Source organism: Homo sapiens, chromosome 5 (assembly GCF_000001405.40).
Source record: "Homo sapiens chromosome 5, GRCh38.p14 Primary Assembly".
NCBI classification, from domain to species: Eukaryota; Metazoa; Chordata; class Mammalia; order Primates; family Hominidae; genus Homo; species Homo sapiens.
The window spans coordinates 50,826,333-50,852,820 of record NC_000005.10 but is presented as its reverse complement, the minus strand read 5'-3'; the positions used below and the strand labels follow the sequence as shown (position 1 = coordinate 50,852,820).

At 34.2% G+C, this 26,488-nt stretch overlaps 1 protein-coding gene across 14 annotated transcripts in view; it reads right to left on the bottom strand.

Annotated features, from left to right (window-relative positions):
- Positions 1-6,301: 6,301 nt before the first annotated feature.
- PARP8 (poly(ADP-ribose) polymerase family member 8) overlaps positions 6,302-26,488 on the bottom strand; it is a 180,589-nt gene continuing 160,402 nt past the window's right edge. For 13 of the 14 annotated variants that reach the window (NM_001178055.2, XM_047417705.1, XM_011543631.4 and 10 more), the window contains 8 exons: positions 26,018-26,066; positions 24,765-24,877; positions 24,437-24,509; positions 22,860-22,929; positions 19,967-20,040; positions 18,773-18,842; positions 17,806-17,890; positions 6,302-10,855 (listed from right to left, as the gene is read on the bottom strand). In NM_001178055.2, coding sequence (NP_001171526.1) covers positions 10,753-10,855; positions 17,806-17,890; positions 18,773-18,842; positions 19,967-20,040; positions 22,860-22,929; positions 24,437-24,509; positions 24,765-24,877; positions 26,018-26,066 — 637 coding nt within the window. In that variant the 3' untranslated portion in view covers positions 6,302-10,752. The other variant, XM_011543633.4, reaches the window with a different exon arrangement.

The window sequence follows — 26,488 nt, the reverse complement described above, 5'->3', positions numbered from 1 at the left end:
TTTGTGTTAATAGCTATGAGATTGCAAGGAAGAAAGATTATGCCTGGTGAGGGGCTTCAGACAGGAAGTTGGATTTCCTTTGAGATTTTAAGGAAGGAGAATTAAAATCAACTCTTCTGACAGTGAGAATGGGTAGAATGATTCAAATAAAAGAGAAACGGAGTGAGGAAAGGCATAGAATTAAGAGAGTCTATAGTTTGTAGATTTGGAATTAGTGGGAACCCTGGCTTGACTGAAAATAAAAGGTATATGAAGTGATTTTGTCACACATTTTAAAAAAGATGGAGAACAGTTTAGTTTCTTCATAGAGGGCTTACATACAAGGATGTGTAGTCTTTATAGCAATGACAGCCACAGGATTTATTGCATGGGACAGTACCTTGACAAGGTCTTTAAGACTCAATGAGAGGTTTCCTTCCATGTACCTACCCTACAACATCATGCATCATACTGGATTGTAACTGCTTCTCATATATACTCTTTTATAGACTGAAGATTCTTTTTAAGGCAAGAACTACTTTTTGAAAGATGAGCTTTTAGAGAATACTAGTTAGAGCTTGGTACATATCATGGACTAAAAAAGTCTTTTGAATAAATAAGTGAAAATATCAGAGCTGACAAATATTGTACCGGTCCAGGGAAGTCAGGGGTATCTTGGATAGATACTTGACAGTTCCTGGGGGCTGAGTGGATGGGGAAGGCAAGGAAATGGTTTTCAACCTTGTGACTTTGGATGGTGGTACCTTGGAGAGAAATAAGATAGTAAGAAATTGTCACTGCTATTTTGATGGGAAAATGTGCTGGCACACTCTTCCAAACCCTCAAAATGCAAGCTAAAATAGCATGCCTAATCTGTATAAATGGATGACATCAATTACAAAACTAAATCAATATGCTTATGAAATTTAATGTTTGCTTGCACATATATTTTTTAAACTTCCATATATTAAAAGGTAACCTGTGCATTTGTCAGATGTTTTCTGAGTGTCAATATGCAACTTAATATCTTGCCTCAGGTCCAGTGAAAAACCAGACTATTTTACCCCCCAAAATTTAGGAAAACTCCCATAGAAAGGATGAAACAAAAGTGATGGATCTGTTATTCATTAAATTGTTACAGTATGGGGCTCAATGGTAACTCTGCCCTGTTACTCCCTACAAATCATCCTGGTGGTGTAGAAGTGGAGACATTATCAAATAAGTGAAGAGACTGTGGTTGCCTTCAGTTCAGTGTCTGGACTCACTGTGTCACTTCCTTCAATACTACTAACTGAAATGTAAAATGCTATTTAATTACAAGGTTTTAAAAAGTTAAACGCTGAATATTTAACAGGTTAAACTTTCAGAATTAAGTATAACATTAACAGAGAGAAATTGTTAGTTGTGGTAGAGCATTATGTTCAGGAATGCAATTTTTTACAAAAAGAGCCCTAGAAATAGTGATAGCTATAAATCAGTGCTCCAGGAGAGCTACAAAATGTTTCAGGTATTTGGAGCAGAGAGAGATCTTTTATGGCTAGATGAAAAGTACAAGTATTCATGTACTCAGGGGTACATGAACTTGACCTTGAATTATGGGTAGATTTGCAACAGGCAGCAACTCAAAGAAAAAGAATCCAAATAATACACTACAGAAAACTATTCCACTCCTGAGCTGCTGTTATTAGAACTAGAAAATTGACTATGCTGTAAGCCTACAACTATTAAGAAATATGTATCCCAGAAGTTAACCAGGAAACACATAAAGAATAGAAATGTTCCCAATTTCAGGGCAGCAAAAATTAAGTTAGAGGTTGACAGAGAAAAATGTGTAATAAAATTCAAGTTAGTTACAATTTATACTATGTTAGAAGAATGCAATTCCCTTGGAAGAAACTGTATTTTCCCATTGACTTATAGTTACAGATGTGCTTAATTCCATCACTGATTTATTATTACTAGTAATGAATATTAGTACTATAGCTTAAAGTAGCTCTCTTTCTTGTATGTCAAGTAGTTAATGACCTGTAAATGAACTCAAGTATGTTAGGGAAGCTCATTATTTAAGGTAATTATTTAGCAAAGCAATGATCCTTTGGTTATGCAAATTACTGACATTAAGTTATAAATTTGTAAGTATCTAGTTTTATGTTTCATTCTGGGCCCTCAAAGCGACCTTCCAATCCAGGTATTGCTTGCTCTAAAGTTAAAATGCAAATATATACTTCAAGAGTAAGAGAGAGTGTAGATGTTGCCAACATTATGAGGTTCCTACATTTTCCTGCAGGTGATAGAGCTGGAAATGATGCCCAGGATGATAGTGATGATGGTGATCAGAACAGTGATAGCCTTGGCTTGACATGTCCCCACCATGGGTATTTATTTAGATGTATGAATCTAGTATGTACCAATAGAAGACATATCTAAGATTTTCAGCTTTAATGCCACTTTATTTGAAGACTGTTTTTCTCAGATAGACATTTGTAATATTGTGTATGTGTACACCCACTTAAGTCCCAAACATTTAGTCGGTACTGGAAATAATCTGTGCATGGTGGTATGGAGGAAGGGTAGCCGGGTTGGGGGGAAAAAGCAGGCAAATCAATAAACATTTTCAACACTGTGTGCTAAGTGAAATAGATGAACTATGGCCAGATACTTGGAAAAGATCTAGAAGGACCATTTGGTTTAGACTGGGAATAAGTTGAGAGTCAAAAGAAGTATAAATTGGAAATGGTGACTGGGGCAGAAAGAAAAAGCAAGTGAGAGGTGGGAAGCAATGGGCTGTTCTTGGAACTGCCAAGAATTCAGTGGGGTTGCAATGCTGAGTGTAAGGTGGTGGTGGAAAATGAGGCTGGAGAGGGATGAGAGGGAAGCAGGGGCTTGACCATGAAGGGTCATGTGTGAAAGGTTTGATGAGAAATTTTTACTGAGTGAGAAACTGGGAGATATTGAAGGGATTTTAAACAAAGGAATTACAAAATTGGATTTTCATTTCAGTAAGATCACTTTAGCTTCAGCATTAAGAGAGGGCAAAGGGTCAGGAAGGAGGTAGAGCCAGTCATAGCCTATTTAGCAGGGGGCAAAGTACAGGAGGAAGGTCCGTCCTCTGTGTGTTAAGCTAACATTTTTGTTGCTGCATCTGGGCAATATGGGGCTGGATGTCTATTTACTAACATACAGAGGCATTCAGTATTTTACCAATCGTAAGTGTACTATGTGCTAGCTGAATTTGTTCCCGGTAAAGGGTACTGGATTAAGTCAAGGATACTGCTATAACCTACATGAATGTTAGCAAAGGAAGTCACAGGAGAGAACGAGGTTGTTGAACACATCATCAAGACACTCAACAAGAAAAATTAACAAGGCTTAGCTATTGATTGGAGGATGGGACTGGGTGAAAGGGAAGGGGATAGGGGATAATTTCTCTTCTCACTTGGGCAAACAGGTGGAAGGTGTGGCCATTCTTTGGTTCGTTGATAACAGTGCAAGAAGAGGAGTAGAATGGTGGGGGGTGGGGACATTTGTTAGAGTTTGTTTGAGGTGTCCCGGGAACATTCAGGAAGAGATGTTTGTTTGGAGGTATTTGATCATGTAATTTTGAAGCTCAAGGGAAAGATCAAAGAAGAGCTGCAGATTTAAGAGTCATCAGACTCATCAGACTACAGGTCAGAGTTGGAGCCATTCACAGTGGGTTGTGTCTTTCAAGTTGAGTGTAAAGAATAGGATGCCACCATTCTGGGTGGTGAGTCCTAAGTGTTCCCCAGGCTAAAATGCCTCTCTCTCTCTCTCTCTCTCTCTCTCTCTCACACACACACACACACACACACACACACACACACGATAGATCTTGGAAATAATAAATCACATTAAAACAGAAAGGAGATTTACTGCACTACTGCAACCATTCTCTTACAGATCTCAGTATTTAGTAAGCCTGGTTTTACAGGTGTAGGGGAGATTTGTTCTCAAACATGTCTCCATGTGATTCAGAATACTCCTTCTCTCTTCTTTCCCTTCACATGGCTGAATATGTGCTCACAGGCTTCTTAGTGTAGAGCCAGCATAGCCAAGTCATTTGTCTTCAGTCAGTCCTTCTCGGAATACTAAATGCTATGGGAGAATCTTAATCGATCTCCAATAAAAAATCAAGAGGGAAATTATTCTCAATTTATATTATAAATTGGATCTCGTTTCCTACTTCTTTTTCCTAAATATTCTCTTACTGTTTCTTATATCCATCCTTTTTCTCAGTCCTTCTTCTCTTAAGTCTTCATTCCTGTCAGAATTACTACAAGAGATACCTAATATTTCTTCTTGCTTTCTGCCTCCCTCTCAGAAATCCTCTCTGCATACAGCTGCCAACATGCTTCTAAACCCCCCCTTTCATGTCACTCACCCAAGGGCTGACAATGATTTTTCCATTGCCAATTACATCAAGTGCAGACTTCTTTCCTTCCAAGCTCTCTAGAATAAAATCACACCCAGCCTATACAATGGTATTTCAGGTTTCCCTGATACAGCTCTTGAAGGCAGTCAGCACTCTGTCTTCACTGACTCTTCTCACTAGTCTCCTATAATTCTTACCTTTGCTATGAGTCTTGCAAAGATGGGATCTCAGCAGTAATAAACCTGGTTTATTAGAAAGCTCAGAGATGAGACTCAGAATCCCTGATGCTAGCTTTGGAGCATAGTGACCTCTTTGGAAAGTGATTAGCTTCTCATCTGTGATACCAGGATACCTACTAAGTACATTCTACATTGTCTTATTTTTGAAGAGAAAATAAGACAGTCTATGTGAAAGTGCTTTCTAAATTATAAAGTGCTATATAAAGTAAAAACTGTTTAATCAAAACTTTTATCTGAAAATGAAGAATACATGATTTTTTAAAAATATATACATGTTGGATATCTTTGAAAAGATCAGTCTTCTTAGATCCATGTTACAAGTCACTGTTATTTGAAATAATTAAAAAGAGGGACCCAGAAGTTGGGAACAGAAATAGAGGCCAAATAAATTCAGACACTTTGAGTAATTCTTAACATTGACTTTCCAATAAAGCAGCCTGCATGGTTTTTAAAAGCACAGGTGATTTTATCAGGCTAGCCAGTGGTCATTAAAAGTGGGGGGACTGGGAAAGGTAAATTAAGTTAACTGGAGAGTTAGAACTATGCTCTGGCCAGCTTCCATGAGGAGGACAGATAAGTGTCACGGGAGTAACAAACATCATTAGAAATTTAAAAAATCAACAAAAAATTAAGTGCTTTCTAATATATGTATTATCAAAAACAAAGTACATGTCTTGATTCCAATCACTCTAGAAATACTTGTTAAGAACCTAGGATGCATCTTGACAGTCAGTATAAGGGCCAAGAGAGTATTAGGTTTTGTTTTAGAGTTGTGAGGTGTCTGGTGAATAAGTAAATGGAAATAATATTAACAACATTACTCAGTAGTACTAATTTAAGGATTCAAGATATTAAGGGTGCAGTTTTCATTCAGTGAATGCAATGGTTTGTTCTTTCCCCCAAGTTTTGCTTGCATTTGTCTTTTCCATTCTGCATTGTTCATCTTGTACTATTCTACAATTATTTCCAAATGTGTTTGCTTTCTTTTCACAAAAAAATTGAAGTTTCCTTAAGGGCAAGACAAAATCTAATATTCTCTACTCCTTATACTTACTGTCAAAAATGCATACTAGACTCCCAACAAGTATTTCTAGAGTAACTGAAATCAAGTCAAACAAAAGAAGTTTGCTATCTAAAGCTTCTCAGTTATGAATATATCATGAATAAAAAATTATTTTACTTACTGTAAGAATATACAATAAGGTCTTCATAATTTTTTACTATTAATGGGTTTACAGGACCATATTTATTTATGGACTGAGATCTTATTCAGTTAATAAGATGTATCTTATAAAAAGTGGTGCTTTAAAAATCATTTTCTGATTACTTATCAGGTCAAAAATGCTTAGAAAATTCAGGACATTTCATTTGAAATGCTCCTTTAGATATCATGGCCAGATGTTACAAACTGAAACACGTACAAACATACAAGAATCTTTTGTTTCACTGCTATACTTCTTGAGAGAATTTGAAATTAAAACGGCACTCATACAATCAATTTAAATCTATTGAAAATACCTGGGGAATACTGAAAAGACTTTCTTTTTTTCCCTCATTTTAAAAACAAAAAGGGCAACATCATTTTTAGAGTTTCTTGAGACCTTCAAATACATAGCCCCTAGAAGCAAGGTTCATCAAGAGGAGAATCTAAAGCCTAACTGAGTTTTCAAAATACTGCCCACATATACCGTACTTGTTGAACAAGTTCAGATTTATTGAAAGTAAACATTTACATTCGCTACAATGTTGGAACTATTACAAAGCTGGATAAAAGAGGCTTTAGTAGCAATAGAAAGCAAGAGCAATAAAAAGTGAATAGAGAAAATATTTGGCCTTACTGATCTCTTGGCAGTATTTACATTATGTACATATTGTTAAATATTTATAATAATTCTAAGGCACCAAAGGCTAAATAGCAGGTTGCAATACTATCCTGTGCACAAAAATCAAGAAATTTATTGTAAAGAGGCTGTATAGTTAAAGAAACATAGGCATATCTTAATGTTTACATAATGGAGCGGATGCATTTTTAAAAATCTCAAATGATACATTAAATATTGGGCAGATCGAAGATATTATTTTTAGAACATTAAATTATATTGACTATGTAAATAAGCACTATTTTTTACTGACTTGCTGGTAAATGTGAAATGTAATCTATTCGTCAACACAGCTTTTTTCACACTCATGGATATGTTTTGTCTAAAAACTACTTGAAATTCTTCTGACCTACAAAAACTTATCCTAATATTCCATAATGTATACAAAATTCCCAAGAAGAATTTACTGGGTAATAATATACATCAAATCTATATATAATCGGACAAAAATTTAGCAGGCATTAAATGCCAAAATGCTTGAATATCCAGTCTGCCATTCCAGTGTAGCAGTTGGGTGTTTTCATCCTTTAACTCCTTAGAGCGGGAGATTGTGGCTTTAGGTAATGGACATAAAATTGGCCCACGTAGAAAATCAATCTCAAAATAGACTAATTAATTTCAAATTTTGCAACCCAAATTGTTTCAAATAATTCATTGGGTGTTAACCCTGACATTGTTACCAGTGACTGAAATATCCATGTTACCACATTGTCCAGAAGTAACTGACAACATCTGTGTCCAGTATGGTCTTCCTGTTGAATTATTTGATGACTTCTATTTGCAAAATTTTATTTGTTCCTGACATTGAAAACCCAATTTACCTTACCAACAGTCTATCATTTGTCTTGAGGTAGTGTTATAATAAAGAATTCAGCAAGACAATAGAACATCATAATGTTTGCAAAATGTGCTTCAAATGCCACCATGAAATCCGTATTTATTTAGACGGTAGATGACCCAATGTTGAGTGTCCCCTTCATGACATATTAAATTACCATCTGATGAAGTTATCCAGACTCTTTAATGAAGATGAGTTTTTCGTCAAAACTTTCTGAAACCCCATGCTCTAAGGCAAGTTATAGTTTAAAAAATATTTTTATTATACAAAGTACTGCTAAAATTCCTTCAGTTATTTAAAGATTCATAGACTTACATATTATAGATTTTCTTTCTTTTAGCAAAGGGGAGAAAAATGAAGGAATTTCTTCTCTAAACTTAAATTTTCAAAGAAAAACATTCAGAGCATTAACAATAGCTTGGGTTGGTTTTTTATACTACATAGTATTTAACGGTAACTTTTACAATGTGGCACTTTTAAAATTAAACTTCAAATTAAAAAAAAAAACAGCTTCAAACCAAACGTATGACTGAGATTTACTAAGCAACAAGTATAAAATTTATTCCAACATAGTGCACTCGAAGACACCAAAAGTGTCTTACTATAATGCATTTTATAGCACTAGATTATTTGTATATTATTACTTTTTTCCATTCTCAAATGTTCATTTTCTTCTCCTTTTAATACAGTGAAAGAGAACAGATTATTCATAGTAAAATGTTTACAAAATAAGCAATGCAGGAAAAAGTAGAACTAATAAATTAATAATTTTCTTCCCCTACTTCAAGGATGAAAATAAATGACTGCCTTTGCTCAGTGGGTTACTATCTAAGTAGCAATGGCTACACAATTAATAAAACCATTACAAAGCATTGGTGAACAGATTTCAAATAATTATAAAAACACAATACAATATCAAATGTTTGGAATCATCAAATAAGTGAATAGATAATATTTTAATGAATGACTGAATTAAAGCATGATAACAGTGTTCAAATCTCTAAATTGTATGGACCTGCTTGGATTTTGGAAGCACATTTATATGTTAATGGTAGTAATTGAAATTAGATTCTTTAGAAACACAGAAATTCATCTTTATCAGTTATTATAGTATCCCTAATTTCAAAAAGTTCAATTAAAAAATAAGATTGATTCTCCTTAGAATATTTGCTTACAAAGGTTCTGACGCAATTGTTTGAAACAAAATCTGTCATTCTGTATCATGATACAACTCAATTAACTGTCATAAGAAGACATCTTACTTTATTATCATAAAAGATGCCTAGCATTAAACTATCAACTACTTAATTTCCTCAGATAGGTGAACCTACTGTTATTCTTAAGTCAACAGGAACAGTTTGTATTATGCCAATTTTCCTTAAACGGTCTTTCTTGAGTCTTACGAGTTACCGTTCCAGTTCAGACTCCAATACTATATTCTTTACGGATCACTCCAATGTTAAGTAAAGCCATAATGGATTAGGTCAGTGGATTTTGAATTATGCTGGAGGCACTCTACAGAGCTTATTGGAGGTGCCTCAGTGGTCCTAGTGGTCAAACAGGTGGAGTTCCAAGATCCCGTCTCCCAAATCTTGATATTAGATCTTCATGTTTGTCATGTATAGACTGTCTAACGTATAGACTAATTTCAAAAAAATAATTCTGTTGCTTAAACATGTTTTAAAAACACAGTTGAAGTGATTTGGGAGACTTGCAGCATCTTGGCAAAAAAGTAGCAAGGTCCTCATGTCCCACACTAATCTTCAAATAAGTGGTCACAAAACACTGGATAGGATATTATATCTTTGCCCTACTCCACTACTATTATCCCTCAGCCTAGCCCAGGGTTCAGAGCCACAAGTCAAAACAGATCAATGCTTTAAGTAGATACTATCAAAATGATTAATATCCCAACCACTTCAAGCCTATTTTTCTTGCAGAAATAAGTGGCATATCAATTATTTGCAATATAACAAAACAAATTATTAGAAAACACTTCCTAAACTGCTACCCTTAACAACATGTATGACCTTTTTCTCACCTTTTATGCCAGACAAAGGAAATAAACACAGCAGTTATCACATTATACTTGCAAATGACTATACATTTTTATTTTTTTTTACATAAATTAAAATCAGATAGAGCCTTGATTCAGGGTTTGAATAGAGTGGCAGACTCACTAATTAAACTGCTTTCATGAATGGCCTTATTCCAAAGACAACATGTGGGAAAATAAACACTGTCAATTAAAACTTGATGAATAAGAACTCTAGGACTCAAAGAATAAGAAATGATTTTGATGAAATTATGACTCTTGAAAAGGAAATGCTGAGAGCTGGTGTTACTGTTCTCTATAAACTTATTTGTGGTCTTTTAATATAAAAGAAGCATCAAGTTTGTGTTCTTTCTCAATATGAAAAAAATAAGCAGAGATATTAGATGAACAAATATAAAAATGCTGGTGTGGCATAAATAAAATTGTATAATTTTTTTGTAGTAAATAAAAAATATATATGGTTTCTTTAAATTCTGAGGTCTTTCTTTTAAATACATAATCATTTGAATATAGATTCGGTCTACCAGGCCATGTATGTTCCCCAAATTATGACTTTTAGATAACATTTTAAAAGGGCTGAATTTCTTCAGACAAACAGAAAAATTGTCTGCAAATATTTTCAGTGAATGAATGGTGGTAAATCTGGCTCATATCTTGATTTATGTCCAAATTTATTGCTTACTAAATATTATCTTCTTTCCATTAAACGAGGATAGAATTGTGAAGCTAAGCCATCTTTCTTGTCAAAACATACGTGTGAATATACACAAATATATTCACAACCACACATTTTGATGCATGAATGTATAGATGTGTATATTACATACTTTTTGGCAAAGCACTGCTTCTAAGACCTACTTCTTTTTTTATGAAGAAAAATAGAATAGGGAACACCCCTTCCAAAACATTAGAATGCCCATACTACTAATGATATAGCACATCAGAATGTGCAAACAGTATACTTATTGCAAAGTATCTGATAGATTTAGATGCCATTATAAAATGTTCTCAATTCTATTTTGGTAACCTAAAATGTCGGTATATAATACCAAATATCCAGTTAAAGAGTTTAGTATAAAAATATCAGCACAAAACAGTTTTTTCAATCTGTTTATTGTATGAGCAACCCAAACTTCAGTTTAAGTGCTGTTGAAATTTTATTACTAGATTCCATAACCCTACAATTGATAAATCTTATACCATTTTAGGTATTTAATGAGATACTTAGAAATACTAAGAAAAAAAATCAGTATTCAAAGGGTTAATTTTGTTTATAATAACAATAAATAATTTTATAATCTTCTTCAGTTCAAAATCCAGCTTTGAACCCGAGGAAGGCTTTCGAATCATGTTAATTAAATGGTGGTCCTTTAACCAGTAGCAGTTTGATTACCAATTACTCGGAGGATCTCTTTGTGAATGCCTCCTTCTTGTGTATTAATATTTGCATCTCCCACTTGGCCGTCTTCATAGCTGAAATACAAAACATAAAAATATAAAAACATTTTAAAAGATGGCAGCATTTAAAACAGCTTAGAAATGCTATTTGATACCTAAAATATAGCCCAAGAGAATCAAAAGCAAATTATACGGTTGTTTTTCAGGTGTATTTAACAATGTGTTCTCATTGCGAAACACAGAACAGCCCATTCTATGTCATGCCTAAATTTTCCCCTTTCTTCCATTTTTTTTTTTTATCCCCGCATAAAAGACTGTCTGAGTTGCAAGAAGCTTCTCAGTGTCTTTGGCCTTGCAGGCATTTCCCATAGCAGCTGCTACGAAGTCTACTATAAAAAAATATAACAGCTTCAACTTTATGTTGCTAAGATTCTGGACTTCTTAATTCTACTCCTACTTCGATCATTTCTTTATTTTCTGACTGAAGACACTTCACTTTCTACCACTGCTTCTTTGCCATGCCTGCCTTCTAATAATTATTCAGCCATAATCAGTGCTGCCCTTTTTTCTTATCACTGGTCGCACTATTTAGTCTGACTGTAACATATTCTTATTTATTCTGGCAGTTCATAAAAGAATGCAAGCCTGCTAAGTTTACTTTATCAGTAGAAGGGAAAATATAATACTAAAGAACAGCAATTACTAAGTTCTTTAAAAAGAAATAGTTACATTTTAGATGGTAATTCATTTTTCTCAAATACAGTTACTTGGGCAATAAGAATTTCTTAAGAATGAATTTTCAAGCTTTCATGATCATATTCAGAGGGGAACAAGTGACAAATTAATTTTACTTCATAAAAATGGCTTCAAGACAGAAGCTTTAGAAAAGTGGTAATTACTTGAAAACAGATAACCAGGGATATAAGCACAGCATCTCAAAGATTAATACTAGCCACTATCTTTTCCTGAAATAGCAAAATAAAGGAAAATGAAAAGATGACATACAGCAGAGAGAACTTGGCTCCTTATGTAATCCACTGCTTAACCATCAAGTGATAACTGCATTTGTACCAAGTCTAAATTCTTAACTAAATGACCCAAGGTTGTCTATTTGGCTAATTCTTATCGCTGTTTTAGATATACTTAGCAAGTTTCAACTTACATATACATGGAAATGACACCTCATGGTGAAACATTACCCTAAGAAAAAGAATGGGATATGTGGTACACAGCCCAATTACAAATATTTTCTCAGGACAGTAAGTGCTCTGTTACTGAGATTAATTCTCCATGACTTTTATTGCATCCTCTTCCTTGGACTCTCATTTCAATGATGGTTTTATACATGAATCACACCTCAGTTTTCTCTCTCTCATGATATGCAAAATCAATGATTTCAGCCCCGTTCAAGTTTTAACTATCACCCACATGCTCATTCCTAAAGCTCTATCTCCGATCCTTAAATTTTTCTCTCTATATAACTTTGCTACAGATAACACAAATTCAGTATATTCAAAGCCCTTATTTTTTGACCCTAGGACTGCTATTTTTTATGCTCTCCATATCTCAATTTGATGTACCGTCATCCAGCAACACAAAACCTTTAGTCATTCTTGGCTCTTCTTTGTGCCTAAACCCAACTAATCACCAAGCTATCTTGTTTCCATTTTCTTAAATCTTCTCTCTACCTTTGTTTAGGCCTCCATTGTCATTCATCTAAATGAGTGGTTTTCAAGTTGCAGATTGTGTATAACTAGTGGGTTTTTAAATTAATTTAGGTTGTCCAGACCAGCATTTTAAGTGATTAAGATAGAATTGAATCGAATCGAATCAAACAGAATAGAATAGAATAGAGAACATTGACTTCACCACAGATAGAAAGAATTATTTTTTTCTAAGTCACAATGTCAAACACATTTCTTTTTGTGGTAAGAAAAACTGACCTAGAATGTTGTTATAACATTATAACTGATCTCTGTCTCTACACTTATCCCCATCATCTGTCCTACAAGATCTATTCTCCACCCTGCAAAAGCGATAGAAAAATGGCCTCCATCTCACTTACAGAACAAAATCCAAGTTATTGGCAATACGAGTTCCTTCATCATTCAAATACAGATTTCCTCTCCAGTCATGCCCCATCACTCCCCCATCACTCTTTTCAGTCAGATGGAAGGGTTTGTCTACCCAAATATTATATGTACCCTGACACTTAAAAAGCATTAGAAGTTAGTGGAGAAGATATGAGATTTAAATTCTTTGCATAAACTGTAATAATTTAAGACTGAAAGAGCACAGAGGAAGAGAGAGCAGAGAGCAAAAGTGGGAGTGAAGGCAAGAGTGAGAACTAGAGAGAGAGAGAGAGAGAGAGAGAAAGAAAGAGAGAGACAGTATGCTTAAAAGTATTAAATAAAATGCATATTTTTCTACTGTCTAGGAAACCCACAAGGAAGCACAACAGTCATGGGTTGAAGGACAAAGTTGACCAAAGGCATTCAGGTGTTTTAAATTTGATGCATATATAATAATCAAGAAAAATCAAACATCCATTTACTTTGGGCAACTGGCAAGGCTTAGATACATAAGTTGCTAGTGGTATTAGAGTATTTATTACAATAGGGTATACAGAACATGTCACAGCTATTTATGATTTAAGAGTAAAGTTCTTTTATGTCTGGAAAGCAACAGAATTTAAGAGAAATAGAACATGAATGATAACCACTAGGGAGATGATACATTGGACTGGGTTTTGGTAGAATGAAAAATGAAAACGTCTAAAAGGAGACAAGAATTATTCATATTCCCAGGAGTGTAAAAAGATTACTAAAATTTTAACGAAAAATTAACCAATTTGCTTTAAAAATAATAGAAACTAGGAAATTAGATGAAACTTAGCTGCCTGGAAATTTCTTAGGTATGTAAGAACATTTCATAAATAAAAACTTTTGAAATTATTGACAACTTGGTGGGAGGATCACTTGAGCCCAGGAGTTTGAGACCCACCTGAGTAACATAGCTAAGACCTCATCTCTACAAATTAAAAAAAATGACAAGGCAGCCTGAGCTGTCCAAACATAGGGTGAGCAGAATTCAGAGAAAAGACAGAATCATTTCAGACTGGGAGGTCAGGGAAGGTGCCAAGGAAAAGACCATGTTTGAATGAGCCTTGAAAAATAGGCTAATGGTCTAGGTGGTAAGAAGGCCAAATCATTTGGATTGACTGAACAAAGGCACAATAGTGGGAAATACAACTCCAAGTTGTTTTAAAGAAACAGCTTGGACAAGAATTTCACTTAATCAGTGGTTTGTGCATGTAACTGAAGTAAGGTAGAAGCGACTCTATATGTTGGAGAATGCCATGCTTCTATTTAACTATCAGCCTGTCTGGGCAGTGAATAATCAAAACACTGCTTTAGGGAAATGAATATGGTATAAATAGTATGATCTTAGAATTTTATATGCATAGGAATGTAGGCTGTACACCAAAAGATTAATCCTAGTTAACTCTAAATGGGGATAATATGGAAAATTTTCTCCTTTTTTTGGCTTATCTTCAATTTCTGAATATTAAAGAGGTATATCACTAGTGTAATAACGGTAATGTTTAATAAGTCTTGCATTGCACAAAGGAGGCTAAGAGTGATGAAGAAAGTAGAAGCAGGGAGAACTAATGACCTTTTGATATATTCTAGGGGAGAGAATAATATATCCATGGGAATAAAGGCATTGGGACAAAATTGTGAAAAGATAAACTTGGGAATTGATGACTACTGTAGTGAGCAAGGAAAAAGAAATGGAAAACTACAGCTCAGGTTTCGAGTCTCTTTGATGTATAAAATTACTGCACAGACTGGAGAAGGTGAGATGTTGGCCAGGGAATTTAAATAATGGGTTCCTATTTGTATATTGATTTTGAGGTATTAGCCCTTTTTGAGGGCAAATACTCATCAAACAGTTATAACGTGAGCATTTTATTCATTCCTACATTCACATCTCCAGCCCTTTTGAAAATAGCTTCCTAATTTCTACATATGGGTCTCAATGTCCTAGTACACATGCGTTTCAAGGTTAGTCATGTAATCAAGCTTTACTCACAGTTTCTAGAAACTAGGAATTGGCTTGGATCTGTTCATAACATCTGATCTATTACATTTTGCCTGGAGCACTTATATTTAATTAAGTTTCTTCATTTTGGAATTTTCCAACAAAAATTTTTTGAACTTCTAATTCTCTTCTTTTTTTTTTAATTGATATCTTCCTTTAAATTTTTACTTCCATTTTTTTTCTGATGCACCAGCCTGTTCCCTAAAATTTCCCTCCAATTTTTCTCTCATTCTGTGCTGCTTACTTGCTGGAAAACATGTGTTTAGCATACTATGTGACTGTTTTATCATCTCAACTGTGGGAATCAGATTAGCATGGGAGTTATTTTAATTTTTAATATTGTTACCTGATAATAGACTTTTAAAAAAGGTAACCATGTTAACTCATATCCTAGTCATTAGGCAAAGCTTCTAACATCCAGGATCACATAATGTATCAAAAAATTAAAATAAAAAGAACAGAAATTGAGTTTTTGTCTTATCTTCATTCTCATCGATTTATTCTTCTTCTAGGTGTTACCACACATTAGGGTGGCTCACTACTAATAGAACTCTGTGATCATATCTTTTATAGAGAAACTGATGGTTGTAATTAGAATGCATATTAATGAAACAGATTCCCCTTCTGATGTGTTTTGAATTTATCAATTTTCCTTAATGAGTCTCTTCTCTCCTGAGGGTGCAAAAAGGATGAAATCTCATTTGTGTTCATAAAGCAATGACAATTATCTTAATATGATAACACGAAATTTTTCCTTGTATTATTTAGGAAGTATCTGAGTGTACTTCTCTTTTATTCACATGATTTAACCTCAATTTTTGCTTATGAAATACAGAAATTCTTTTCTCCAGTAAACACCCCCCGCAACATGTACATCCCTACAGATAGGCTTTATGTATAATTTATCTAAAAGTTCAAAAGAAATAATACTAAAAATGGTACTGCCTATTTAAATATCTAAGGTTGTTTATTTGGCTCAATTAATTTGAATTTTAGCAAGATGCAGAAGGAGTAGATGAACTGATTAGATGACAGGCTAAGGAAAGCACTCTGGAGTTACTTTTCGGCCAAAATCTCAAGATTTCTCAGTGAAATAACTTGGTGACTGAAAGCTTCTTTTTGCAAGGCCAAGCATCTAATAGTGGATAACAATCAAGATAGTTAAGAAAGAAGACAGAAAAAAATATTTAATAAGCTTTTCAGTGGCCAAGACCTGCATTGTGCTAAATTAATCCTCATAATAAACTTTATAGGTACTGTGTGCAGTTAGCTTCTCTAGGAGCCCCCAGGATCCTCTTGGAGTCTTTCTCTGCCTTCGTTCTGCCCCAGGAGCCTGACCTGTAAGGACTTTCTCAATAAGCTTCATTGTTCTCTAGTTCTGGCAGGCTTTGGCCAATGGGGCTTCCCAACAGGACTGCTTCCTGTCTGTGTCCTTTTGTACCTGGGAATGTATAACAGCTCTGGTGCTAATAGATCCAGGTTACTACACTGGACTTGCGGTTTCCTTATAATCATACCCTTGTAAATAATCTAATTGTGGATGACCCAAAAATATTTTTCATGGGTCATCTGTTTCTTGTTTGGATTCTGACTGATACAGGTATATTATTATCATTTTACCGATGAAGCTTAGACGTGTTATACAACCAGGCAATATCATCTTACTAATTACTATTCAGCCAGGATTCAAACTATCTGATCAAAAGCGGGCTCCTTCTCCTATACTCACTGCTGCCTCACTGTTAAGAAAGAAATCTATAGTCAGCAAATATCTATGGTAAGAACAATCACAGTTTTCAAATCATCCAAAAGAAAACCAGGCAGCTTGTAAGTCTCACTGTGAATAGTCTGTCAACAAGCCAACAGATCCAATGCTGAATACACAGGGTACTCAGGATATACAGTATACCGAAGCAACCTTAACAGTTCCATTTTTCAGTTTCTTTTAAATATACTACATAAAGTACAAAACAGATATGCTCAACTCTTCCCTGAAATCCTTTCTGTGACAAGATCATGGATAAGGTGGGAACAGCATGGGAAACGGGTTGGAAGCCAAGGGTAGAGTGAAAATTAGACTGGTCTACTGCACCCATTATTTAGGAATGAAAAATAATGCTTTTATATTTTAATGCAACTCTTATGATACAGCTGTGCCAAAAAAAAACCCCACATTGACATGTACTGCATTGCCAGCCTGTATTATATGGAATGTAGATCAATCTTTTATAGGACAGACCTTTTCATTATTGTATTCTTCATCCCAGTTCTAAATTTTTAAAATTAACAAAAGTATATGTGTGTATGGAGGTGTATAAACACATGTATACATATATACATACAGAGAGATGGCTAGAGAGACAGAGATGGTGTTTTTCTTTTTTCTTTTTTTTTCTTTTTGAGACAGATTCTCCCTGTCACCCAGGCTGGAGTAAGTGGTGCTATCTTGGCTCACTGCAACCTCCACCTCTTGGGTTCAAGCGATTCTCCTGCCTCAGCCCCAGGAGCTGGGACTACAGGCATGCACCACCGCGCCCAGCTAATTTTTGTATTTTTAGTAGAGATAGCGTTTCACCATGTTAGCCAGGCTGGTCTCAAACTCCTGACCTTAGGTGATCCACCCGCCTCGGCTTCCCAAAGTATTGGGATTACAGGTGTGGGCCACCAGGCTTGACTAAGATGGTGTTTTTTTTAGTTGTAAGTTAACAGGTGTTTTTCATGAGCTCTTCTAAGTTAACAGCATTTAAAAATTATTTAGATTTTTTTAATGGCTTACTGAAAATAAAACAAAAACATTAGTTGATGTTAAACTCAATTACCTGTTATATTTTGGCAGCTAAAGAGACCAAACGATAATTCAGTCACCACTAACCCATTTGTGGCAAAGACAGTAATATACAAATTTGAGCATTTCCACTTACACGAAAAAGAATCGTGTGCAGACATGGTCAGTATTGGGGACAACCCATATCTCTCCATGTTTGTGCAGGTCAGATGAGGTGATCACTGTTAAGTGGAAAATAAAATTAAAGAACCACTTTATTCTAAAGGAATCCTAGTCCATTCCGACTTAATATATCTCTTCTCGTTGAAATCTAAAGCAAAAATACAAGCACTAATGAACACATAAAAATTGTTTAGCCTTATTGTCTATGAAGAAATATAGATAAAAACAGTGAAAGACCATGTAACAACTTTATAATTTGAATAACAACTGGTATAACAATAAAAAGGGACTCATCTAAGTATTACCAAAAGCAGATAGGTCCTGACTTAAGAACTATGTAGACAGCAAGTTCATGTCCTATATAACTACCGTGTGTTGAAAACTTAAAAGACAGTTGACAGCAGCTACTAAAACTCCTAACACAAGAAGAAAAAATGAATTTTTAGGCAGTCATATTTTAAAGCAAGAACAAAGAAAAGTATATCATCTTGCAAATCACCCATCAATTTTTCTGTCCTCAGTACAGAATAATATAATAATTTCAGTGCAGGAACAGAAAGACCTAATAGGTTATCTTCTCAGTGCTTGGTTCATCTTTCACATTTTTCATAGTATCATATATTCAAATACCAACTTTAAGAGGAAGGTAGCACATTAACTAAAGAGATAAGCATTACTTGATCAGAAAGATATAATTACCATTCTGGAAATATCTGCCAGAAATAAAATATATCACTCTCTGAATTCTTGCCAATTCTGCAATTTGGTTTGAACCTTTATGATCTCTACGGTACCCGTTTTTGCATTTGTGCCCTTTGAGATGATCATAAGGAATAATGCTTTCCCTATTCCACCGTAAGCACTCTGTAAATATACTTATATTTTTAATTATAGATGAGCTAGGAACTAACACTATGAGGTTTGTAAAACTTTCAACTTACCTTCACATAAGGCTATGCATTTTAAGTTACGGCTTTGCAGGAATTGGGATTGCTGTCCTTTTTTCTGTGACTAAATTCCAAAAACAATTAAAACTTAGAGTCAGAATGAAACACTTTGTGAAAAAAGCTGTTCATCATTAAAAAGTAATAGTCACTAAGATGGCTCCAGGTCAAAAAAAAAAAGCCTATCTAGACTAGCATCAATTTCCTTGCACTCTCTTAATATTAAGTTATTTTTAATTTCTGTACATCATCATTACTAAATTATTCTTGAGATAAGTGAACTGAAAAATGCTAAATTAGGGTTCAATAATCTTACAACACAGAATTAGAACTCAAATTTATTTTTACTAAAAGCTTGGCCTCTTTATTTCAAGGTAAACAAAATTAAATTTGCTTGATCTTTTCAAACATCAAAATCAATTATTTCAGATCACCTACTCCAAAACCAACCCATTTTTTTAATAGCATCATGTACTAGGTCACGGAGGTTACAGAAACATTTCATGTAGAAAATCTGGGATTTTTTTTTTTTTCAGATATTAGATTAGCTATACTCTCTTTTTTTAAATTTAAAGTCACACTACTTATCAGATGATTTTTTAATTTTCCCAGAATATACTTGTTTTCTCTGAAACAACATGGGATTGATGGTCATTCTACTCTCTGCCCAGAATGTTCTTTCTCCTAGAGAGTCACATGGCTCACGCACTCATCATCTGTAGGTCTTGACTCAAATGTCACCTTCTCAGAGTATCCTTTCCTGACCATCCCATTTAACATTCATCCCAGATCCCTCTTCCACCTGACAGCATTAAATGTCTCATTTCCCTGATTTATTTTTCTTCATAATATCTAGCATTCTATCTATCTAAATATGTATTTAATTTATTTATACCCCTCAGTAGGATGTAGGCTCCAAGAGACGGAATATGTGTCTACTTTTGGCCATCACTACACTCTACTGCCTAGGAGTATCTCTGGTATTATAGTGGGAGATAAATAAATATCTGTTGATTAATTATTGTATAGAGGCAATTCAGTTACTGCATTTCAGAGTGAGTTTTATTCCTTTATAAGTAATGACCACATTAAATAATTTTTCAGACTTAAAAAGCCTATTTTTCCATGCTCTGCTGGCTGATGAGGCCACAGTTCACTAATCATAAGCAGTCACTAAAGTCACTACAACACCTGTGATGTATTGCTGCTTTTACTGCTTGAAGCTGGCTCGTCCTTGGCTGACACCTTCTGTTTCTTGTTCATCCCTGAAAACATCGGCAAAATAATAATTTAGGGACAAAGCTGTCTGATGCAGCTGAAAGTACAATCGACCTACTATGCAAAGTTCCATTCTAGGTAAAGGTTTGATCACATTAGGCTAGAGACAGTAACAAAGGGCTGTGCCCTTAGCCCCTGAGGTGGAAGATCAGTGGGTTTGGGAAGTCCTGGGAAAGTTATTTTTTTGCATTGAAAGCAAGGATCGAAAATTCTTCTGCATAAAATTAATATAATTTAAAAATTCTTAAAACTTGATTTTAAAAGGCTTTTAGAACCTAACTTTCATTCCCACTATCTGGCTAGGAGAAGGAGAAAATAAAGGGTGGGAAATGTGAACAATGTCAGAAAAATATTTTTACATTACAACTGAACTTTTGTTGTTATTTGTTCTTAAATTCTATGCAGAATTTAACATTTCTTCTAATTAAGACAAATTATGTAAGTTTTTTTGTCTGTAATATTCACAAATTTTAGCTTACTCTGTAAATGCCATAATTTCTTACTGTGAATAATTTAGAAAAGCAGAACTAAAATACACATCTGTTTTAGAATAGGTAGATTTGTATCTACACTTTATTAGAAAGTGTTCATCTACTGTTACACCAGAAGTTGAGATAGGTGTTGATTTTTGTAGTTGTTTCAGCAAATGGCTTAATGAGAAGGGGAAAAGCCTGTTTACAAATTTTGCAAAGTACATTTATCCAACTTTTCCAGGCCTTCCAAAAAGGTGGAGGGGTGGATGGGGACAGGTTGAGGAGAAGGCCTTGGATTTCAAATGCCAATTCTGAACAAAAAGCAAAGGATATATATGCAGAGAAGCTGTCCTGTTCTCTTACCCCTACACTTTCAGCCCTCAAAATCAACGACAGATGCTACGTCATCTTACTGTAGTGATTCTTACATTTGTTTTAGATCAAGAGCCCTTCAAGAATTTGAGGAAAGGTAAGTGCTCCCTCTCCAGAAAAAAAGCACATATAACACAAATTTTTACATCCATTCACATGGTTTGTAAACCCTTCCACAATTCTTTCCATGTACCCATTGAAGGAGTCTATATACCAGTATAAAAAACAGAAAATTACAGTACTTGATGATTTGCTGTGTTTTTTCTTTATGCTGAGAATGTATTTATTTATTTCAGCTGGTTTCTTAGCTTTTTATTTTGTACTGTTTTAGCAAGATTTAGAGTCTGATTTTAATAGATTTCTTCTTTGTAACTCCATTTCCTATCTCTACGGTATCTTACACTTCCTGGTATTTATTTTCTTTGTGTTATTTTGGCATATTGTATTTTCAGAGATCACTGAAACAGTATTTCTTTGCTAACAAGAGATGGAGTCCAATTCCCCAACTCTTGAATATGAGTCAGGCTGTCTCAGGCCTGCCAGCGCAGCCCATCCATCAGCTGAGCGGCATTCAGTGGATACTTTGAGGGGCTAAAGAATCACTTAGCCAGGTCCCATCCTAGATTCCTGACCCAAAGAATCTATGAGCGTAATGAAGCTGTTATTTTGCCCTAAGGTTAAGGTGTTTGTTGAACAGCAATAGTTACTTGAATAATTATGTTTTAATTTTTCATATATTTCTAATTTTTCTTTTTTTGTTAACATGCAACCTTCTCATTTTTTAAAGTTTTCTTTCCATCAGCATTTTACCATTTATCAATGTTGCTGATTTCTTTTAGTATTTCTAATTATAAATCTGGTTTTAAGCGTTCCAAGTTTCCTATCATTGAGAAACAACTTGTTATGGTTGGAAGAACATGAACTTTGGTAAATAAATTAGGTAGTTCTCTTTAATGTTCACCTGGTTATCAGACCTCTCTAAATATCCTTTCCTATAACATGAGGATATTAAGACTCACCATTCAGGCACCATGTGAATGACATCTCCTAAAACGTGTAACGTGATCACATAATCACACACACACACACACACACACACACACGCATGAGCACACAAGCAAAACTAATTACATATGCAGTTATATGTATATAAAACCACTTAAAAGTGTGAAGGAACATACACAGAACACTGAAGCTGTAGTAAAGGAGAGAAAATTTTCATCTGCTACTTCAAAAATTCTGTGTAGCTTGAATTTATACAATGAGCATAATTATTTTATATTTAAACCAGAATAGGTTAGTTGTTATATAAATCATGCTGATCATTGTAAAATATTCCAAAAATTTTTTAAGTGCAAAGAAGAAAACATCACCAATTCCACCAAGGATAAGTAATGCTAACAATTTGGTGATCATTCTTTCTACATTTTGAACTCACCAGGCTCCTGCACAGCACAAGTTTTCAATTTTTTCCAAAGTATTTTTTCCCACAATCTCACCAAATTTACAAAAAGTTGTTAACAAGAAAGATGATTTTGAGGGTGTTTTTCTACTCTAATGTTTCCACAATGTTCAAAGCTTCTTTATGAATAATATTACAAAGATAAGAAATTAGCATGATATAGAATTACACTTAAAGATATTATGTATGTGTACTTCTCAGTGCCCTACATAGTGCTTTGCATATATTATAGTCTCAATATTCATTTGTGGAAGGAATAAATGTAAGGAATATTAAATATTTTTTTAAATTGATGAAACATATATTCCATCTTGTACACTAGGGAGAGTATTATAAATTCATCTTGAAAATGGGCTTTGTTTTTGCTTTTGACATTTAGCAAACAAATTTAATAAAAATATATCTAATAAGGCACAATAGAAAGCTGTGAATAGAGTATAAACAATAAGAAAATTAAAACCTAATAAATGTGACTTTAGAAATGAAATACAGGAATTACCTGAGTAACCAAATGATATGCTTGACATTGGACTAAGATAGATTCCACTTCCATACATTGCACCATGGAGCTAAGATGGGAAGAGTGGGAGAGAGAGAGAGGTCTGTTCATGGTTTAAATGATAATATTTGACAAAGCAATCAGTTTCATGTCAGAACATTCAGTCTTACAAAAAAATGACAGAGCTTCTATTCCAAGGTCTAATTTGAAAACAGTACTAATATCCTTGTGCTTAGAAAAATGGTATCTAGAGGAAAAATATTCTTGATAAATGTTTTCCATCCTACCATTAATAAAGACAATCATTTATTATAAAGTACACTAGTAGGCCTTTATTTTAATGGATCTAAAATTTCAGAAACTAAACTTGGTCCGAAAGACACAGTAACGCATTCTGATTAGGATTTATATGTTAGTGTATAAACAAAGCGTCCTGCTCAGATTTTCATTAATAATACTATCTGTCATCCTGTTCTTATCCTGTTACATTTTTCAGGTTACATAAGTTTCATTAACTGAAACTATACTCAGATCAACTAAATTTCTTTCTTATTATCTCTGTGTTCTGGGCCCTCACACACTATTAGTATGAATTGAATACTAAACACATTTAACATTTAATTGAATCATCTAAAATGTCATCATAATATGAGATCTAGCTCAAGTGACTGGGTTAAGCATCTCATTTCCTTATGTCCTTATGCTGTCAGATGAAAAAAAATTCAGCTGCAGGAGAGTGAAGTGAAATGTGCAGGATGAAAGGCATAAATAAAGATGAAGATGACTGCCATGATATCCTGCTAACACCAAGTACTGTCCTGGAGGCGGAAAAGCAGGTATCAGATGGCTCTCTAGCATGCAATCTTCACTTATTTCTACATTTTATTCTCTAAAAGCATTCATATTGAGGCCCAGTGCTCTAGAAATGTACATTGAATTAACAGAATGCCTGTATGATTTTACTTTGTGCATGATAATGTTTTTCTACTTAAGTAAAAAGTGTGATTTGTTTTACTGTTTTCTCAGAGGGAATTAAACTCTCTTTTCTTTTCTTTTTTTTTCTTTTTTTGTTGTTGAGACAGTCTTGCTGTCACCCAGGCTGAGGTACAGTGGTGTGATCTCAGCTCACTGCCACCTTCACCTTCACCTCCCGGGTTCAAATTATTCTCCCAATTAGCTTCAATTGTAGGCATGTGCTACCACGCCTGGATAAATATATATATATATATATAATTTGTATTTTTAATAGAGACAGGGTTTTGCCATGTTGGCCAGGCTGGTCTCAAACTCCTGGCCTCAAGCGATCTGCCCGCCTCAGCTTCCCAAAGTGCTGGGGTTACAGGTGTGAGCCACTGCACCCATCCTTTCTTTTTCTTTTCATTGTGTGATCCATTTTGTGTTTACATCATTGTGTATAGATCAGTTCTGCTTCAGTTCTAGTATGCCTACTAGAAATTCCATATAATGTCTTACTCACATGCTTCCTCTTTTGCAAGTTAAACCTAACAACAGGGTTGCTTACTGAATCTCAATTCTGAAGAAGAATGAAGTCTTGTGAAAGCATTCAGAAAATCTACCTGCAATCGTGTATTAGAAGCAACAACCAGACCATTCCTCAGGATGGAGTGCCAGTTTTCAATGTGTGAGCCACTAAAAAAACAGACGGAAAGGAAAAAGCAAAACCAGAAAATTAATTATCTTCAAAGTGGTCAAAACATAATAAGTCATGGTGCCTTCTGAAGGTTCTGGATTGCCAAATCAAGTATTATGTAGTTGACTACATGACCATCTGTTGAATGACCATCTACTGAATGATCATTTACTGAAAGACAGTGATATCTTCCCCATACATTTCTGGAAAATGTTAATGGGAGCACACCCCCATTAACATTAAGCCTTACTCACTGAAATGCAAAGGTGCTTCCAAAGAGTTTTTTAGCAGCTCTAAAATTGGATTCTTTGGCTGGTGGACTGCTGAGAAGAAGGAACTGATGTGGAGTATGCATAAACTTCAATTGCTGCCATTTAAGATAAAGACAAACAAAAACATGTAAAACTTAACATATATTCAGGCTGATGACAATTTCAAATTTTATTGGTTTAAGAATTACCCACTTTCAAACTATAGTAATTTTCCACTAACCACATTAGCAAGCTAATTTGTATAATGTTTTTAAAACTCTACGCAAGTGATAAGTCACATGGAATTGCAAATATGAAGAACAATTCTTTGGGCAAATGGGAAAGGAATAGGAAACAGACAATCCAAAGCCATTTATATTTAGCTTTGGAATACAGTATGCAATCATGTTTAAGCAGATCTGCCTTCTTAATTACATTTCTTTTAACATTTTTATTATTGAGTCCCTAAGTATATACTAGCTATTCAATTGGGGAAATATTCTGGAGTTTGCTAAGCAGAAAAGAAAAGTTTATAAAACTGCAAAAATTATTATTATGCTTTATTTGCATATATTTATAAAATTGAGAATTTTTGCCTACATTCAAATATAGTCTCCTCCTTGGTCATGGAAAGAAATGAAAGCAGAATCTTTTGGATTAATAGCTTGAAAACATCTTCTAAGTGTTTCCCTTTCTCTTAGGAATATAGTTATGCAGGAATATAATGCATAGGAATCTCACATTTAGAGATTCACAGATGGCAAAAATGAGATTTTTAGGTACAGATCTTAGGTGATGATCAGAACTGAAATCCAGAGTCTATTAGCTTTTTACAAATTATTATTTTTTAAGCTTACTAGGCTGATAAATAAGTTGTCTGAGGTCAATAGCTTCTCAGCTGTAGAAAAGTGGAAATGTGCCAACATGAAACTGACAACGATTATAAAGCACATTAACTTCCTTCTGGTTAATCTCCATATAATATTTTTCAATTGCTTGTGGAATAACTAAATGATTTCATATTGATGTTTTTATTCACTTAAAAAGTCAGGACAGCAGACTGAATTTGAATTTGTTATCTTGGAAAGGTTTGGAGCTAGTGAGCAATGGCTATTTCAAACTAAAGAATTATATTTAACCTGGGTTTACTTCAATTCTTGGAGAGTCTGGCTAAAAATTACAAGGTAGGTTCTCCCAACTGATAAGTACTCCTCCCATTTCTGTATGCATATGTAAAAAAAAAAAAAACAACTTACCCTGTTAACTGGCAGTTTCACAATATGTGATCTATTACTTGATATAACCCTGAAATTAAAATGATCCATTAGTCACAAATACATGCCAAATATATTTAAAGTTCTTTTTCTTAGTTGGCAACCGATTAAAACTTATTTTTGCTGTGCCATAAACTAAACTTGGAAATAATTTCATTTAGTCGCATAATTTAGGTTTGTTTCCTGAAACAATTTAAAGAGCTTATGTAACAAAAAAGGTAATATTTTAATCTGAGAAAACACACTAGGAAGTTGTTCCCTAAAACTTAAGACATAGTTTTTAATAAGCATAACCTCAAGTATCAGCAAAATGAACATTTGAACATTTCTGAATGTACTTTCAAATAATGATAATCCAAATACAAATAAGAGCAGTGAGTCATGGATCTGCTTCTTTTATTCCTCTCTTACATTGCTTAAATTAAGGATAAGTTCTTATGAAGATTTTTTTTC